Raw genomic sequence first — 18822 nt, 5'->3', positions numbered from 1 at the left:
GTGTCTAGCTAAAGGATTGTAAATGCACCAATCAGCCCTCTGTGTCTAGCTAAAGGTTTGTAAACGCACCAGTCAGCACTCTGTCAAAACGGACCAATCAGCTCTCTGTAAAACAGACCATTCAGCTCTCTGTAAAATGGACCAATCAGCAGGATGTGGGTGGGGCCAAATAAGGGAATAAAAGCAGGCCACCCAGCTAGCAACAGCAACAGCAACCTGCTCAGGTTTTCTTCCATGCTGTGTGAGCATTGTTCTTTCGCTCTTTGCAGTAAATCTTGCTGCTGCTCTCTCTTTGGGTCCGCAGTACCTTTATGAGCTGTAACACTCACTGCGAAGGTGTACGGTTTCACTCCAGTAGCCAGGGAGACCAACCACGAATGCAGTGCGAAGAACAAGAACCCACCGGGAGGAACAAGCAACTCCGGACACGCCACTTTTAAGAGCTGTAACACTCACTGCGAAAGTCTGGGGCTTCATTCTTGAAGTCAACGAGACCATGAACCCATGGGGGGGAATGAACAACTCCAGACGCGCCACCTTTAAGAGCTGTAACACTCACTGCGAAGGTCTGTGGCTTCACTCATGAAGTCATCAAGACCATGAACCCACCAGAGGGAAAAAACTCTGGACACCTCTAAACCTCTGGAGGAACAAAGTCCCGGCACACCATCTTTAAGAACTGTAACTCACTGCGAGGGTCTGCGGCTTCATTCTTGAAGTCAGTGAGACCAAGAACCTACCACAAGGAACCAATTCTGGACACACTAGTGTTGTTGGATCTGAATCTGTCCCCAGCAGTTACATGGTGGAGTGAGTGAAAGTGCTGGAACCCACATGATAAAACTAAACAAGGTGAGTGCCGGGTAAAATAGATTTATATAGAACTAAACGTCTCCTAACATAATATTTGAAATACACAAGATACAATTGAAAATCTGTTGTCATACCAAGATCCAAGTAAAGCACAACATAACAAAAGTAAATCAATTGGCACAAATACCTAGATGAATCAGATATTAGTGCTATCTGACAATGATTTTAAAGCAACAATCTTAAAATTAAATTAATTCAACAAATAATTAAGCATGTATTTGGGACAAGTAAAAAGTGGGAAATGTCGGCAAATACATTATTTATAAAACTAAACCAAATAGAAATTAAAAACAAAATATGATAACTTAAAAGCTCATTGGAAGAGATCAAAGGTAATAAGACAATGACAGAATCAGTGAAGTTGAGAATAGATCAATAAAATGTATTAAATCAAAAAAATTGAGAAAATATACTGAAAATAAAAATGAATGAACATCTAAAAACCAATAGGAAAATAGCAAAATTCAAATATCTCTATCCTTAGGGTTCAAGAAAGAAGAGGAGGAATGTGGGACTGAACGGTATTCAAAGAAATAATGGGTAAAAAAGTTCCTAAATTTTGCGAAAGACAAAACCATATATATTCCAGAAGCTAAATGAACCCCAAGTAGAATAAATCCAAAAAATTCCATACCAAAACATATCATACTTCTAAAAACTAAAGACAAAGGTGAAATCTTCAAAGCAGCCAGAGGGAAAAATGGATTACTAATAGAAGAACATCAAGGTAAAAGAAAATGGGTTTCTTATAAAAAAAAATATAGAGGCCAGAAGGAAGTGGAACAATGTTTTTCAAGTCCTGAAAAAAGTTAACTGTTAACTATAAATTCTACCTCCAGTTAATATATTCTTTAGGAATGAAGAGAAAATAAAGATACTCTCAAATTAAAGAAATGTTTTTAAAATTATCACTTGCAGACCTACTTTTTATTTTTTCAAGGCTGTTTTCTAGAGCAGTTTTAGGTTCACAGAAAAATTGGAACGAAGGTCCGGAGGTTTCCCATATACCACAACCCCAACACATGCATAATCTCATTCATTAAAACATTTCAAACAGAGTGGTGTACTTGTTATAATTAGTGAATCTACATTGACACCATGAGTACCCAAAGTCCACGGTTTACCTTAGGGTTCACTCTAGGGGTTGAATATTCTATGGTTTTGGACAAACGTATAATGGCATGTATCCATTATATGTTTGTCCAGATTTCCAGGGCAGTGAAAATACTGTAAATACAGAAGATTTTCTCTGTATATACTCTGCATATACAGTATTTTCACTGCCTGCTGTGCTCTGTCTACTCACCTATCCTTCATCCTCAAGCCCTGGCAATCACTGATCTTTTGTTTTACTGTCTGCATAGTTTTGCCTTTTCCAGAATATCATATATTGGGAATAATACAATATATAGTCTTTTACGATTGGTTTCTTTCCTGAACAATAAGCATTTAAGCATCTTCCATGTCATTCCGTGGTGCTTTATCTAATTTACTTTTAGCACTGAATAATAATACTTTGTCCAGATGAACCACAATTTATTCATTCACCTATTGAAGAATATCTTAGTTTTTTCCAAGTTTTAGCAATTATAAATAAAGCTGCTATAAACACTCACATGCAGGCATTTGTGTGAACAAAAGTCTTCACCTCCCTTGAGTAAATACCAAGGAGTATTACTTCTGGATTGTTTGGCAAGAATATGTTTAGCTTTGTAAAAGAGTAGCAAACTGTCCTCCAAAGTGGCTGTACCATCTTGCATTTCCACCAGCGATGAATGGGAGTTTCTATTGTGCCACATCCTAGCAAGCATTTGCTGAAAGTATTCTGGTTTTTGACCATTTTAATGGGAGTGTATTTCATTATTTTAATTTACATTTTCCTGATGATGTATGATGTGGAGTACCTTTTCATATGCTTATTTGCTACCTTTACATCTTCTTTGGTTAAGTGTCTGTTAAAGGTTTTTGGCTCATTTTTGAAATCAGCTTGTAGGTTTTCGTACGGTTGAGATTTAAGAGTTCTTTGTGTATTTTGTGTAAGAGTTCTTTATCAGATGTGTATTTTGCAAATATTTTCTCCAAGTCTGGGGCTTGTCGTCTCATTCCCTTGATGTTGTCTTTCAAAAAGCAGAGGTTTTAATTTTAATAAATACGGTGTATTCATTACTTCTTCCGTACATCATGCCTTCGGTGTTGTATCCACAAAGTCATCACCATATCCAAGGTCATCTAGGTATTCTCCTGTGTCATCCTCTAGGAGTTTTATATTTTCACATTTTACATTTAGGTCTATGATCTATTTTGAGTTATTTTTCATAAAGAGTGCAAGATCTGTGTCCAGATTCATTTTTTTTTCACATGTGGATGTCCAGTGGTTCCAACATCATTTGTTGAAAAGACAATCTTGTTCTATTGTATTTTCTTTGTTTCTCTGTCAATGATTAGTTTATCATACTTATGTGGGTCTATTTATGATTTCTCTATTCTGTGCCATTGGTATATTTGGTACATTTGTCTATTCTTTTGCCAATACCGCATTGTCTTCATTACCATCTTTATTAGTAAGTTTTGAAGTCGGATAGTATCAGTCCTCTGATAGTTTTCTCTCAATCTGTATTGACCATACTGGGTTTTGACTCTCCAGGTAAATTTTAAAAATAGTTTGTCAATATCCACAAAATAACTTGCTGGGGTTTTGACTGGGATAGCATTGAACCTATAGATCAAGTTGGGAAAAACTGACATCTTGACCATCCTAAGCCTCCTTCTCTATGAATAATGGAATATTTCTTCATTATTTTGTTCTTGATTTCATCAGAGTTTTATAGTTTTTTTCATATAGATTCTGTACATATTTTGTTAAATTTATACCTGAGCATTTCAGTTTGGGGAATGCTAATACAAATGGTATTGTGTTTTTTGTTTCAAATGCCACATGTTCATTGCTGGTATATAGAACCCCTAAAGTGATTAATTTCTGTATACTAACCTGGTATTTGCAACCATGTTATAATTGCTTACTAGTTACAGAAATTTCTGTTGATTCTTTTAGATTTTCTACATAGATGAGAATGTCCTCTGTGAACTCTCCATTTTTAATGTTTCCTGACAGCTTTTAATCTTCATCACTACCCATTGTTCTGCCCCACATCTTGGAGAGCTATTTGGTAAATGCAAATTAAAATAATAATGAGATAACTCTTTGCATCTATAGCAAAAACTAAAATAAAAAGTAATGACAACACTAAATTTTGGTGATACTGTGGGGAAACTGGATTGCTGCTACGTTTTGCTGCTATGTATGGAATGTAAAATGGTACAGCCACTCCAGAAAACAATTTCTTACAAAACTAAACATGCAGGTACCTAATGGCTCAGCAATTTAATTCTTTGTATTTCTCAAATTGAAAACTTATGTTCACACACATACCTAGACATTAATGTTCATAGGAGCTTATTTGTAGTAGTCAGAGTGTAAACAATTCAAATGCCATACAATAGGTAAGTGGTTGATTTAACTGTAGTCTATTCAAATCATGGACTATTACCCAGCATTTATTAAAACAAATAATAACAACAGCAACAATAAACAAAACTACATTTTGGATGAATCTCCAGGAAATTATGCTGAGTGGGTAAAAAGCCAATCCTGAAAGCCAATCTCAGGAAAGTATAATTCTAATAATGTAACAATTTTAAACTGAGAATATTTATAGAAATAGAGAACAGATTAAAGCTATGAGGGATGGACACAGGAAGGGGAACATCACACTCTGGGGACTGTTGTGGGATGGGGGAAGGAGGGAGGGATAGCATTGGGAGATATACCTAATGCTAGATGACGAGTTAGTGGGTGCAGCACACCAGCATGGCGCATGTATGCGTATGTAACTAACCTGCACAATGTGCACATGTACCCTAAAACTTAAAACATAATAAAAAAAATTAAAAAAAATAAATAAAAATAAAAAAAAGTAAAAAATAAAAAATAAATAAATAAATAAAATATATAAAGCTATGAGGGATGGTGAGCATAGACATGAGGGCAGTTATAAAATGGCAATACAATGAATCTTGTGATTACAGAATTTTCCTGGTTTTTGTCTGTGATAATGGTAATATGAATTTATTCATGTGATGAAATTGTATAGAACCAAATATACACACACACAAATAAGGGCACATAAAACTGATAGAGTCTCAGTAAAATCAATGGATTATATCAATACCTATTTTCTGGTTGTGACATTTTGCTGTTGCTGTGCAAAGTATTGTCATTGGAGTGAAGTGGGTGAAGGTCATGTTGGTTCTCTTTGTATTATTTCTTATAAATGTATGTGAATCCCAATTATCTCAAAATAAAATATTTTGTAATGTCACCCCAAATTCATGATGCAGAAATAACTCTTGGTAGTATTAGAATAATATATTAGTCTAGACATCCTTCAAACATATATATGGAATAATTTTATAAACATGAATCATACTTTTTTATTATTTATATTTAAAATACCACATTTAAACTTGAAGATAATAGAAGAAATAGAAAATGAAGATAAACTGAAGGAACTAGAGAACTAATTATTATTTTGTGCAAGTTTAACTGTCGTAACTAATAATACTAGTAATCTTGAATTCTGTACCAGTGGTTATATGTTATGTCATATCACAAGAAGTTAAATGTTAATCTATAGTGCTATGAAGTGGGTGACACTGTCAATCTTTATGGCGTAGGAAAAAGATGGTTCAGACAGTTTAGGTAAGTTTCTAGAGATTCTATACAATTAGCTGAGCCAGCAGTTAAATCCAGGTCTATTTAATTAATCAACCTGCCTCACTGAGTTATAAAATATCACACTGTTTTTAAATACTGGTAAGAATTTTAATATGAAGTGCCTAAAGATAGGACATCTACTGTGGATATAGTTAGTGATAGAACTGGAAAGGTAGTATGTGTTTGACACTGAAGTCAGATCCAGCCCAGAAAAGATATTTTGTGAGAGCCACAGTCCTTTCCAAGGTGTCCCACCACAAGACTGTACCTTTCATGTGACTCCTGCTGAGATTGATTTAGATTGCCCCCAACTGGCTAGGATGTGCTATCTTTGTTAGCTGACTCCATTTTGACCATGTATGTACTCAGCTCTGTTTTCTTTCTCCTTATCCAGGTAGGTAGTCACCCATTTCTCTTATTTCTAACCTTGGCCTGAACCCTATTTCATGGGTAATGGTGTTGACAAATTGGCAGTTATTAGAAGGAAACTCATATTGAGTTTGGCTTGGTTATATATATTTTAAATTAATGATCTCTGTGAGATATTTAGGTTTAGCGCTCAGGGGGAAAACAGCACCATACACACTTTCATCAGTTTGTTTATTTAATCAAAATATGTTTTAGCATTAAAGATGTAAATAAACAGGCACAAAATGATTTCTGACACTAAAAGGGAGGGGAGACATGGTAGTATTAAAAAAGTTTCCCAAAGAGGCACTGATAAGTATTAATTATCAAGAGAGAGGTAAGGGAAAATAATCTTTGAAGTCCACATTTTATACGCATGAACTACAAATGACCTGTATCAGAATGAACTAGATATTCATTAAAATAATTTTGGATCCACACTTGTGCCCACTCAATCAGAATCTCTAAGGATATGACTTATGATCTTCATTTCTGCAAATTTGAAGTTGCCCAGGAGTTTCTTATGCATGCTAAAGTTTGCAAACCTCTGTTCTTAACAGACTCTAACAGAACAAAATAGCCAGATGGGCACTACGAAGGATTCATATAGCCACAGAATTTAGCAAATAAAGAACTTTTTAAAATTTTATTTTAATTGACATATAATAATTATACATATTTATGGGGTACAGACTGACATTTCAATAGATACATTCAATGTGTAATGATCAAATTCAGAGTAATTAGCATATGCATCACCTCAAACATTTATCATTTCTCTGTATTGGACATATTCAAAATCCTTTCCTCTTGCCCTTTAAAGATAAATTATACATTAGTGTTAACTATGGTCACCCTACAGTACCATAGAAAACTAGAATTTATCGCTTCTGTTTAGCTATAATTTTGTATCTGCTAACCATCCTTTTTATACCTCTCCTCCTCCCTCTTCTTCCTAGCCTCTAGTAACCAGTATTCTACCCTCTAATATGGGGTAGAATACTTATTAGAGCAACTTTTTAGCTCTCACATATGAGTGAGAATAGACAGTATTTGTCTTTCTGTGCCTAACTTATTTCACTTAACATAATGTCCTCCAGGCTCATCTTTATTGCAGCAAATGGCAGGATTTCATTTTGTCTGGTAACAAAAGAGTTTTCATTGTGTATATATACCCCTTTTTAAATCCATTTATGTGTTGATTGACATTAATACCATAGAAGTACAAAGAATTAGCAGAGACTATTATGAATAGTTATATGCCACAAATTGGAAAATCAAGAGAAAATGGATAAACACTGGACACATATAGCCTACCAAAATTGAACCAAAAAGGAAACCTAAACAGTAGAATAGTAAATAACGACATTGAATCAGAAATAAAAAGTCTCCCAAGGAAAAAAAAGGCCCAGGACCACATGGCTTCACTGCCAAATTCTACCAAACCTGTAAAAAAACTACCATCAATTCTTCTCAAACTATAGCAAAAAAATTGAAGAGAAAGACGTTATTTCAAGCTCATTCTATAAGGCCAGCATTACCTTGATACCAAGATCAGACAAGGGTACAACAAAAAAGAAAACTACAAGCCAATACCCCTGATTAACATAGATGCAAAAATACTTAACAAAACACTAGCAAACCAAAGCCAACAGTACATCAAGAAGATTATCCACCAAGATCAAGTGGAATTTAACCCAGGGAAGCGAGAATGAAAATCCCAAATGATCATCTAAATAGACACAACAAAAAAGCATTTGTTAAAATTTGACATCCCTTCATAATTTAAAAAACACAGTAAATTAGGTATCAAAGGACTATGTCAACAAAATAAAGGCCATATATGACAAACGCAGAGCAAACTTCATACTGAATGGTGAAAAGTTGAAAGGCTTTCCTCTAAGAACTGGAACAAGACAAAGCTGCTCATTTTCACTACTATTATTCAACATACTATTAGAAGTCCTAGCCAGTGCAATTAGCCCAGAGAGAGAAATAAAGGGCATCCAAATTGGAAAAGAGGAAGCCAGATTGTTCCTGTTTGTAGATAACATGATCTTATAAATAGGAAAACCTAGACTTCACCAAAAATCTCCCAGAACTGATAGATGAGTACAGTAAAGTTGCAGGATACAAAATCAACATACAGAAATAAGTAGACTTTCGTATGCCGATAATGCAGTAGCTGAAAGTGAAACTCTGATACAGCAGCTTTGGTAGAGTGAAGAGAGTGTAAGGCAACAGTAAGTTGAGAAGTACATTTGAGTTTACATACTATTCCCCCAAACCTCAAAACATACTGGCACAGTTTTTCACTTAAGAAGAAGTATGGTAAGTTAACTACTAGGAAAATAGAAGGAAATGAGTCAAACCGAACTTTGCCTTTCTATATGGAAAGTTTCCCTTCTTAAACAGCTATGTTCATTATGAACGTGGCAAAGTCCTTAACTCTACCTTAAGTATGGTGTTAAAATACAGTTTCATGGTTTTTTTTTGTTTGTTTTGTTTTTTTTTTTGAGTTGAAGTCTTGCTCTGTCGCCCAGGCTGGAGTGCGGGAGTGCAGTGGCGCGATCTTGGCTCACTGCAACCTCCGCCTCCTGGGTTCACGCCATTCTCCTGCCTCAGCCTCCCGAGTAGCTGGGACTACAGGCGCCCGCCACCACGCCTGCCTAATTTTTTATATTTTTAGTTGAGACGGGGTTTCACTGTGTTAGCCAGGATTGTCTCGATCTCCTGACCTCATGATCCACCCGCCTTGGCCTCCCAAAGTGCTGGGATTACAGGCGTGAGCCACCATGCCTGTCCTGTTTCATGGTTTTTAGAAGTATACATATATGTAATTTAAAGATATATAGTGTGTACATATAAAAATGTGAATTTTTTGTAACTTATTTAAAATAAAAACATCATTAGATAATGTAAATATTAAGAAAATAAGTAGATTTTAAGTTCATTTATTTTATTTAAATAATTTTATTATTTAATTTTATTAACTTTTTAACTTTGTTTTTTATTTCAGTAGGTCTTTGGGGAACAGATGGTGTTTGATTACATGGGTAACTTCTTTAGTGGTGACGCCTGAGATTTTGGTTCACCCATCACCCAAGCAGTGTACACTGTACCCAATGTGTAGTCTTTTACCCTTCAGTCCCCTCCCACCCTTTCCTCGAGTCCCCATAGTCCATTGTATCATTTTTATGCCTTTGCATCCTTATAGCTTAGCTCCCACTTATGAGTGAGAACACACATTGTTTGGTTTTTACATTCTCGAGATACTTTCACTTAGAATAATACTCTCCAATTCCATCCAGTTTGCTGTGAATGCCATTATTTTGTTCAGTTTTATGGGTAAGTAGTATTCCATGGTGTGAGTATATATGTATACATGTACACCACATTTTACATCACTTGTTGATTGATGGGCATTTGGGCTGGTTCCATATTTTTGCAATTATGAATTGTACTGCTATAAACATGTGTGTGCAAGTAACTTTTTAGTATAATGACTTCTTTTCCTCTGGTTAGATACCTAATAGTGGGATTGCAGGATCAAATGGTATATGTACTTTTAGTTCTGTAAGGAATCTCCACACTGTTTTCCATAGTGGTTGGTGGGTTGTTTACATTCCCACCAACAGTGTAAAAATATTCCTTTTTCACCACATCCATGCCAATATCTATTATTGTTTATTTTTTATTATAGCCATTCTTACAGCAGTGAGATGGTATTGCATTGTGGTTTTGATGTGCATTTCCCTGGTAATTAGTGATGCTGAACATTTTTCCACATGCTTGTTGGCCATTTGTATATATTCTTTTGAGAATTGCCTATTCATGTCCTTAGCCCACTTTTTGATGGGATTTTTTTTTTCTTGCTGATTTGTCTGAGTTCTTTGTAGATTCTGGATATTAGTCTTTTGTCAGATGTATAGGTTATAAAGATTTTCTCCCACTCTGTGGGTTGTCTGTTTATTCTGCTGATTATTTCTATTGCTGTGCAGAAACTTTTTAGTTTATAAGTTGCATCTATTTATCTTTGTTTTTATTGCACTTGCTTTTGGCCTTGGTCATGAAGTCTTTGCCTAAGCCAATGTCTAGAAGGGTTTTTCCAATGCTATCTTCTAGAATCTTTATGGCTTCAGATTTTAGATTTAAGTCTTTGATCTCTCTTAAGTTGGTTTTTATATAAGGTGAGAGATGAGGATCCAGTTTTATTCTTCTACATGCGGCTTGCCAATTATCCCAGTGCCATTTGCTGAATAGGATGTCCTTTCCCCACTTTATGTTTTTGTTTGCTTTGTCGGAAGTCAGTTAATTGTAAGTATTTGGCTTTATTTCTGGGTTCTCTATTCTTTTTCACTGGCCTATGTGGCTATTTTTATACCAGTACCATACTGTTTTGGTGACTATGGCCTTATAGTATAGTTTGAAGTTGGATAATGTGATGCCTCCAGATTTGTTCTTTTTGCTTAGTTTTGCTTTGGCTATGTGTACTCATTTTCAGTTCATATGAATTTTAGGATTGTTTTTACTAGTTCTGTGAAGAATGATGGTAGTATTTTGATGGGAATTGCATTGAATTTGTAGATTGCTTTGGCAGTATGGTCATTTTCACAATATTGATTCCACACATCCATGCTTATACTCATAAACATGAATCCATTTGTTTGTGTCATCTATGATTTCTTTCAGCAGTGTTTGCAGTTTTCCTTGTACAGGTCTTTCACCTCCTTGGTTAAGTATATTCCTAAGTATCTTATATTTACTTTTTGCAGCATTGTAAAGGAATTGAGTTCTCGATTTGATTCTCAGCTGGCTCACTATTGGTGTATAGCAAAAATATTGATTTGTGTACATTAACTTTGTATCCAGAAACTTGGCTGAATGCATTTATCACTTCTAGATACTTTTTGCATGAGTGTTTAGGGTTTTCTAGGTATATGATCATGCCATCAGCAAATAGTGACAGTTTGAATTCCTCTTTACCAATTTGGATGTCCTTGATTTGTTTCTCTCGCCTGAATTCTCTGGTTAGAACTTACAGTACTATGTTGAATAGAAGAGGTGAAAGTGAGAATCCTTGTATTGTTACAGTTATCAGGGGGAATGCTTTCAACTTTTCCCAATTCAGTACCATGTTGGCTGTGGGTTTGTCATAGATGGCTTTTATTACCTTACAGTATGCTCCTTCTATGCCAATTTTGCTGAGGGATTTAATTATAAAAGAGATGCTGGATTTTGTCAAATGCTTTTTCTGCATCTATTGAGATGATCATGTGATTTTTTAAAAATTCTGTTTATGTGATGTATCATGTTTATTGACTTGTGGATATTAAACCATTCTGGAAAAGTGAATTCAAATGGAATTAAAATAGTTACTTTAATTTTGCCTTATCATGTGCTGAACATAGTTTCCTAAAGAAGTGTGTAGTCTTTGACTTGGTATATTGTCTTTGACTTGAACAAAATATGCTATAGTTTTTATATAGTGGTTTGAAAGAATTAGGAGCTCTCTGAGATTTTCAACTATATTTTCTGTGAATGAATCTTTTCTAAAATAAGTATAATAAACTTACAAATGTATTGAAGGAGGAATAACCACTCCTCTTAACTGAGAGATTCCAAACTTTAAAAATTTTACTGAGGAAAAAACTTATTATTAGCTACAAAAGGCAGGAGAATAAAGAAATGGTGAAAAATAAATTGCCCTTTTCATGAGATTCAAGGTTTGGAATCACTGAGTAATGTGATTTTCTTCTCATGAAATAAATAATGAAAAGAGAGTAAGCTAGATAACGTTTAACTTTCAATTATTTAATTGAGATCTGTGTATTTTTTAAAAGGTGCTCACTTTATTTTTAAGAATGTGTCAACAAGCCAAAAATTTTGATTTCCCCGCTGGAAAACTGTCAGTGAGATCATAGCAAACATGGATGCCCAGAATATAAATTTTCTTCTAAGTTTTTAGGGAATACCACAATGGCCCAGTTTCAGTGTTTAAAATGTCTGAGCACCACGTTTCCATTGTTGGTTGCAGCATTATTACCCCCAATTTACCATAGCAAGGGTTCAGTCGTATTCATTCATTTTTGCTTTTACATAGCACATATATAGTAAGTGCCTACTATGGATAAGACACACTTCCAGATGAATGAGATATAGAAGGAAGAAAAAGAAACAAAACCCTGAACTCATGGAGCTAATATTCCAGGCAAGGAGGCAGAAACTGTGTGAAATAGATAAGTATGTTATCTAGTATGATGGAAAGTTGTACGTGTTCTCGATAAAAATAAATAAATAAAGTCAGGGAAGGGGATTGAAGGCGTGATGAGGGGGAAAATTTGGCATTTTAAATATATGTTGAGGGAAGACCTCATCTACAAGGTGTCATTTGCAAATACCACTGCACTGCATTGAAGATAGGCCCAGTGAATTTGCAGGAAGTATTATATTTGACTTACAAAATGCTGTGACAGGAAATGGAGGCCTTCACTCATGTCTGCTAAGTATTGGAAACTGTCACAGAGCCAGCTGGGGCAGAACAGTGAAAGCCAAGATCAGGAGTCCAACTGGAAGGGCCTTGAAGACAGTGAATGTCTGGCAGGCACAGACCCAAGCACAGGAGGTTAGACGGCACAGATATTGTAAATCCGGAGAGAGATGACGTGCTCCAATCTAATGATATTGTGGCAACAGGAAAGGAGCAAACAGGGCATAAAATCCAAGTGCACAGCCTGAGGTCATCAACAAAGTTTCCAAACAGAGTGGGAAGAAATAGACAGGAAACAAAGACAGAATAGAAGGAGCAATTTAAGTGCCAGGATTCAAAACCAAGTTGAAAGTGAGTGGCAGAAGGTCAAGTCAAAAGTATTAGGCATATGTCAGTGCACAGTTACTAGGAGAGAGCAGGCTTCTGTAAAACCAGGGAAGCACAATAGGATTCTGATGAAGATCGGAGACAGAGATCAACTGCCATGGCCTTTATACACAATATGGTAATTGGGGTGTGTGTGTGTGTGTGTGTGTGTGTGTGCGTGTGTGTACGTGTGTGTCTGTAGGGGGTAGATTAGAGAAAAGCACAAACTCTAAGCTGCTCAGCTCCTTTAGATAACTATAGATGCTTCGTTTGACAGTGAAATTGTCCTGACACTATGAGTCAAGAAATAGGAGTACATTCTACGTTTGATTTGTTGCTGTTACTTTACATACATCAATTACTTATTTTTATGCTTGTTTTAAAAAGTAATTTATATCACTTTTTAATTTAAAAAGTTGTGAAATTCATGAAATACACACAGAGACATACACATACACATACACACACACACACACACACACAGAGAGAATAAAATATACATCAGGTTTCTGTAAACTTTCTTTATGACTATTATATTCAAATGTAGTGACTTTAAAAATACTGTATGGAATACTAGGCCCAGGGTATATAAATAAATGTTATATAAAAATGAATCCAGCAGTAACATACATGTAGGAAATATTGAGCTGAACAAGATATTTGTTGGTGGGCTTTAACTGTAGGAACAGTATTGCAAACATGTATAATATAAATATGTATTTTTATTATATAATCTCAATTTAAAATATACTTTATTTTTAGAGAAATTATAGGTTCATAGCGAAATTAAACAGAAAGAACAGAGAGTTCTCATGTATCCCACAACCCCACATTCCTGCAGGCTTCTTCTTGATTATCAATGTATCACACCAGAGTGCTACATTTATTATAATAAATGAATCTACACTGGCACATCATTATCACCCACAGTTCATAGTTTACATTTGTTCAGTCTTGGTATATTCTATGGGTTTTGAAAAATGTGTAATACCATGTATCCATTATCATGGTATCATACAGATAAGTTTTCACTGCTTAAAAATTCTGTCCTTCACTTTACTTCTTCCCCACCCCACATTATTGGCAATCGCTAATCTTTTTACTGTCTGCATAGTTTTGCCTTTTTCAGAATGTCATATGGTTCAAATCATGTGGTAACATAGCTTTGTCGGATTGCATTCTTTCACTGAACAATGTCCATTTAAGATTCTTCTATGTATTTTCATGGTTTTTAGCACTGAATAATAAGTCATTATCTGAATGTAACATAGTATATTTATCTATTCACCTGTTAAAGGACACCTTGTTTGCTTCCAAATTTTAGCAATTATAAATCGCTAAATTATAAATTATAAATATAGTTGTTATAAACATATCTGTGCAGTTTCTTTGTGTGTGGACGTAAGTTTCAACGCCTTTGTGTAAATACCAAGGAGTGCAATTACTGGATCATACAGTAAGTGTATGTTTAGTTTTGTAAAAAAGTATCAATCTGTATTCCAAAGTGGCTGTAGCATTTTGCATTCCCACCAGCAATGAATGAGAGTTCCTGTTGTTCCACACCCTCACCAGCATTCGGTGTCATCAGTGTTCCAGATTTTGGCCATTCTAAAATGTATGTGGTGGTAACTCATTATTTTAATTTGCAGTTTCCTAATTACATATGATGTAGAGCATTTTTTAAGTTTATTTGCCATCTTTATATCTTTTTTGGTGAGGTGTCTGTTCAGCTCTTTTGTCCATTTTTTAAAGTTAGTTGTTTTTTTTTTATTGTTGAGCTGTAAGAGTTTCATGTACATGTTGGATACTGTTCTTTATTAAATGTGTGTTTTGCAAATATTTTCTTCCAGTGGCGTGGTTTGTCATATTCTCTTGACAGCATCTTTCACAGAACACAAGTTTATAATTTTATTTATTTTATTTTATTTTATTTATTTATTTTGAGACAAAGTCTTCCTCTTGTCACCCAGGCTGGAATGCAGTGGCACGATCTCAGCTAACTGCAACCTCCACCTCCTGGGTTCAAGTGATTCTCCTGCCTCAGCCTCCTGAGTAGCAGAAACTACAGGGGCGTGCCACCACGCCCCACTAATTTTTTGTATTTTTAGTAGAGACGGGGTTTCATCCTGTTAGCCAGAATGGTCTGGATCTCCTGACCTCATACCCGCCTGCCTTGGCCTCCCAAAGTGTTGGGATTACAGGCATGAGCCACCGCGCCCGGCCCTAGTTTATAATTTTAATGAAGTGCAACCTACCAATTATTTCTTTCACAGAACATGCCTTTGGTATCATATGTAAAAATAATTGCCATATTGAAGATCACTATATTTTCTTCCACATGATGTCTATCTATATGTTAACATAGGTAGGTTACCATTTAGGACTTTTGTATTTTTGAATTCTGCGTGACGTCCTATAATCTATTTTGAGTTTGTTTTTATTATGGTACAAGGTCTGTGTCCAAATTTATTTATTTTGCATGCGCATGTTCAGGTGTTTCTGTACCCTTAGTTGAAAAGGCTATCTTTGTTCAACTGTATTACCTTTGGTCCTCTATCAAAAATCAGTTGATTACATTTATGCAGGCTTATTTCTGAGCTCTCTGTTCTGTTCCATTGGTTTATTTGCCTATCCTTTCATCAATACCATGCTGCCTTCATTACTGTCTCCTTATGGTAAGTCTTGACTTTGGGTTGTATCAGTTCTATTCCTTTGCTCTTCTTCAGTATTGTAGATTGGCTATTCTGGGTCTTTTGCCTCTTCATATAAACTTTAGAATCAGTTTGTCAATATTTCAAAAGAACTTGCTGAGATCTGACTGGAATTGCATCAGTTCTATGAGTCAAGTTGGGAAGAACTGACATAATGGCAATATTGAGTCTTCTTATCCATGGTCATAAACTATCCATTTATTTAGTTCTCCTCTGATTTTGTTCATCAGAGTTTCATAGTTTTCCTCACATAGAGCTTGTATATATTTTGATAGTATTTTACCTAAGTATGGTATTTTATTTGAGGGAAGGTGTTAGTGTAAATTATATTGTGTTTTTATTCTCAAATCCCATTTAGTAATTGCTGAAATAGAGGAAAACAATTGACTTCTCTATATTAACCTCTTATTCTGTAACCTTGCTATACTCACTTATGAGTTCTAGGTGTCTTATTTGTCAGTTGCTTTAAATTTTGTGCATAGATAATATGCCACTACGAATATAGACAGTTTTATTTCTTCCTTACCAATGTACCCTTTTTTCATTTCCTGTTTTATTGCATTTGCTAGGACTTCCAGTAAAACATTGAAAAAGAGTGGTGAAAGCCAATATCCTTGCCTTGCTCCTCATCTTGGAACATTCCTAGGTTCTCATCATTACACATGATGTTAATTATAGGGATTTTTAGATGTTCTTTATAGAATTCAGGAAGCTTTCCTCCATTCCTTTTGTGAGTTTTTATCATGTGAGTTTTTATCATGTGAGTTTTTATCACGGTTGACGGACTTTATCAAATGCTTTTTCTCTGTCTATTGATATGATTGTTTGGATTTTTTTCACCTGTGGATGTGAGATATTACATTAATTGATTTTCAAACTTTGAAAATCAGTTTTGCATAACTGGGAATAATATCACTTGATATTGGTGTATAATTATTTTTGCATATTTTAAGTTCTATTTGCTAATGTTTTGTTGAGGATTTTTGCATTATGTTCATGAAAGATGTTAGTTTGTTGTTTTATTTTCTTTTAATATCTTTGGCATTGATATTAGAGTAATGCTGGCAACAAAGGATAATTTAGGAAGTATTCCCTCTGTTTCTGTCTTCTTGGAAGGGTTGTAGAGAATTTGCATAATTTTTTCCTTAAATGTTTGATAGAGTTCACCAGTGAATTCATTTAGGCTGTGCTTTTCTTTTTTATGAGATTTTTAATTCAATTTCTTTGGTAGTATAGTACTATTGTGATTGTCTATTTTTTCTTGTGTTAGTTTTGAAAGATTATGTCTTTCAAGGAATTGGTCCTCTAAACAATAATAATAATAAAATAAAAGAATTTTGTCAAATATGTTTAATAGCAAATAATTTTCTTTCAGAGTGCCTTTCACAGCTAATGTTCCAATTGCAGTAATTTAGTAAATATGGGTCTACATTATATCCTAATACTTCATATGCCTTGTATAGTTCCTATAATTAGCTTAAGTTTATATGTTTTTTATCACTATTATAGAATACACAGCATGTGGGTTAGAAAATCTAGATTATAATTTTGGAAAGTCATTGGTTGAAATATTAGCACAGATCACCTTTCTATTTTACTAATCTGTGAAATGAAGAAAATGTTCTAAGTGGTTTTAAGTCCTTTTCTAGATCGAAAAATAAAAGACAGATATATTAAAAGGAGACATAGCATATGGTAAATCTAAAGAAGATGTATTTAATGTTTAAATTTAACCATCAAATATTCTCTCATTTACCAAAATAGTATCCTCTGGAATTAAAGTTTAGTCTTCAAAATGACTTAACTAGATAGAATCAGAGCTGAAACAGAATATTGTAGGTCAATGAATCTAACTATTCTGACTTCAAATAAGAGGTGCTTTGGTTCTATTATTAGTTATTTACTGGTGCACAACAAATTTAAACAAACTTAGTGGCTTAAAACAATACAGTGTTAATGGATTGGAAGTCCAGACACAAATCAGCTGTGTCCACTGATCAGGTTACCCTTCTCTTATCAGGTTACAGTCCTGATGTTGGTTGTGCTGCATTGTCATCTGGTGGCTCACTTGGGAGAGAAAAACTGTTCCCAGTCTCATGTAAGTTGTTGGCAAAATTTATTTCTTTCTGACTTCCAAACTGAGGTTTTAGTTTTTTGCTAGCTGGCTGTTCAAAGATCCTGGAGGTACAGTATCTTGCAATGTGGGATTTTCAAAAATGGTTACTTACTTTACAGAAGTTTGTTTCTTCGAAACTACCAAGGAAGAGTGAGAGTCACATAATGTAACATTATCACAGTAGCGATACCTATTATCTTTGCTGTCTATTGGCTGGAAAGAAGTCAAGGTATCCCTCACACCCAAAGGAAGAGAGTAAGCAAACTGGTGAAAACTAGAAGGTGGACATCATTGGGAGTCCATCTCACTGATGGTATTTCAGAAATAAAAATAGACAGAAAGGTAACAATTGGCAACCACAATGCAATAACTACTACAAAATGAATTTTCCCACCATTTTCAGAAACTAGATAAGAATGTGTGCAGGACTGTGAACCTTGAGCTAAAGAAAAACAAAAGAACACAAAAATAAGCTAAATTCCCACAAACGCAAAGGATTTCTGTTAGAAGATAATTTACAAAATTTGATAAGAGAAATGAAATTCAATCAACAAAAAGTGGTCTTGCTGAGTTATGTAGAGAGAGATAAGAGTTTTGGGGGACTGAAATTGAAATACTAGAGAACACAGATCTATGGAGAAAAAGAGTTCCAGAGGACTATGCAGTAGTCACTTCAATTTTTTAGCTGAATTCTAATCTGCCTATGCATAATATGAAACTACATGAGACCAGGAAACAAATTCCCAAAAAAGGTATCAGCTGAATAATACTTAGTGCAAGCCTGGAAGACAATAAAATTTTGATATTCCAGAGGAAGAAATCGCATTGTAAAGATGACTGAAGAAGTAACCTTTAGTATTAGAAATAAACTAACTCTCAAATAAAGGTTACTCTTTAATTACCACTAAAGGCTTTTAAATAAGTTTTGAATGAACTGAGTAGATCTGCAAGTAATATAACTGCCAACTAAAACAAAAGCTAATAATATTTAAAGAATAATATTAAAATGCAAATATGAACCAATGTGGCATTGTTGTCTGGCATTCACTAAAAATTTACTAGGTATGATAAAAAGCAGTAAAAT

General features: G+C 34.6%; 1 long non-coding RNA gene across 3 annotated transcripts in view; it reads left to right on the top strand.

Annotated features, from left to right (window-relative positions):
- The first annotated feature begins 580 nt into the window (after nucleotides 1–580).
- LOC105377409 (uncharacterized) overlaps nucleotides 581–18822 on the top strand; it is a 33624-nt gene continuing 15382 nt past the window's right edge. For 2 of the 3 annotated variants that reach the window (XR_939181.2, XR_939180.2), the window contains exons 1-2: nucleotides 12739–13050; nucleotides 17643–17720. This is a non-coding gene — a long non-coding RNA (uncharacterized LOC105377409). Of the gene's footprint in view, nucleotides 853–12738; nucleotides 13051–17642; nucleotides 17721–18822 lie in introns of those variants that run through there. The other variant, XR_001741523.1, reaches the window with a different exon arrangement.

Source organism: Homo sapiens, chromosome 4 (genome assembly GCF_000001405.40).
Source record: "Homo sapiens chromosome 4, GRCh38.p14 Primary Assembly".
NCBI lineage: Eukaryota > Metazoa > Chordata > Mammalia > Primates > Hominidae > Homo > Homo sapiens.
Note: the sequence above shows the minus strand (reverse complement) of the source record. Positions and strands in the feature narration are given on the sequence as shown.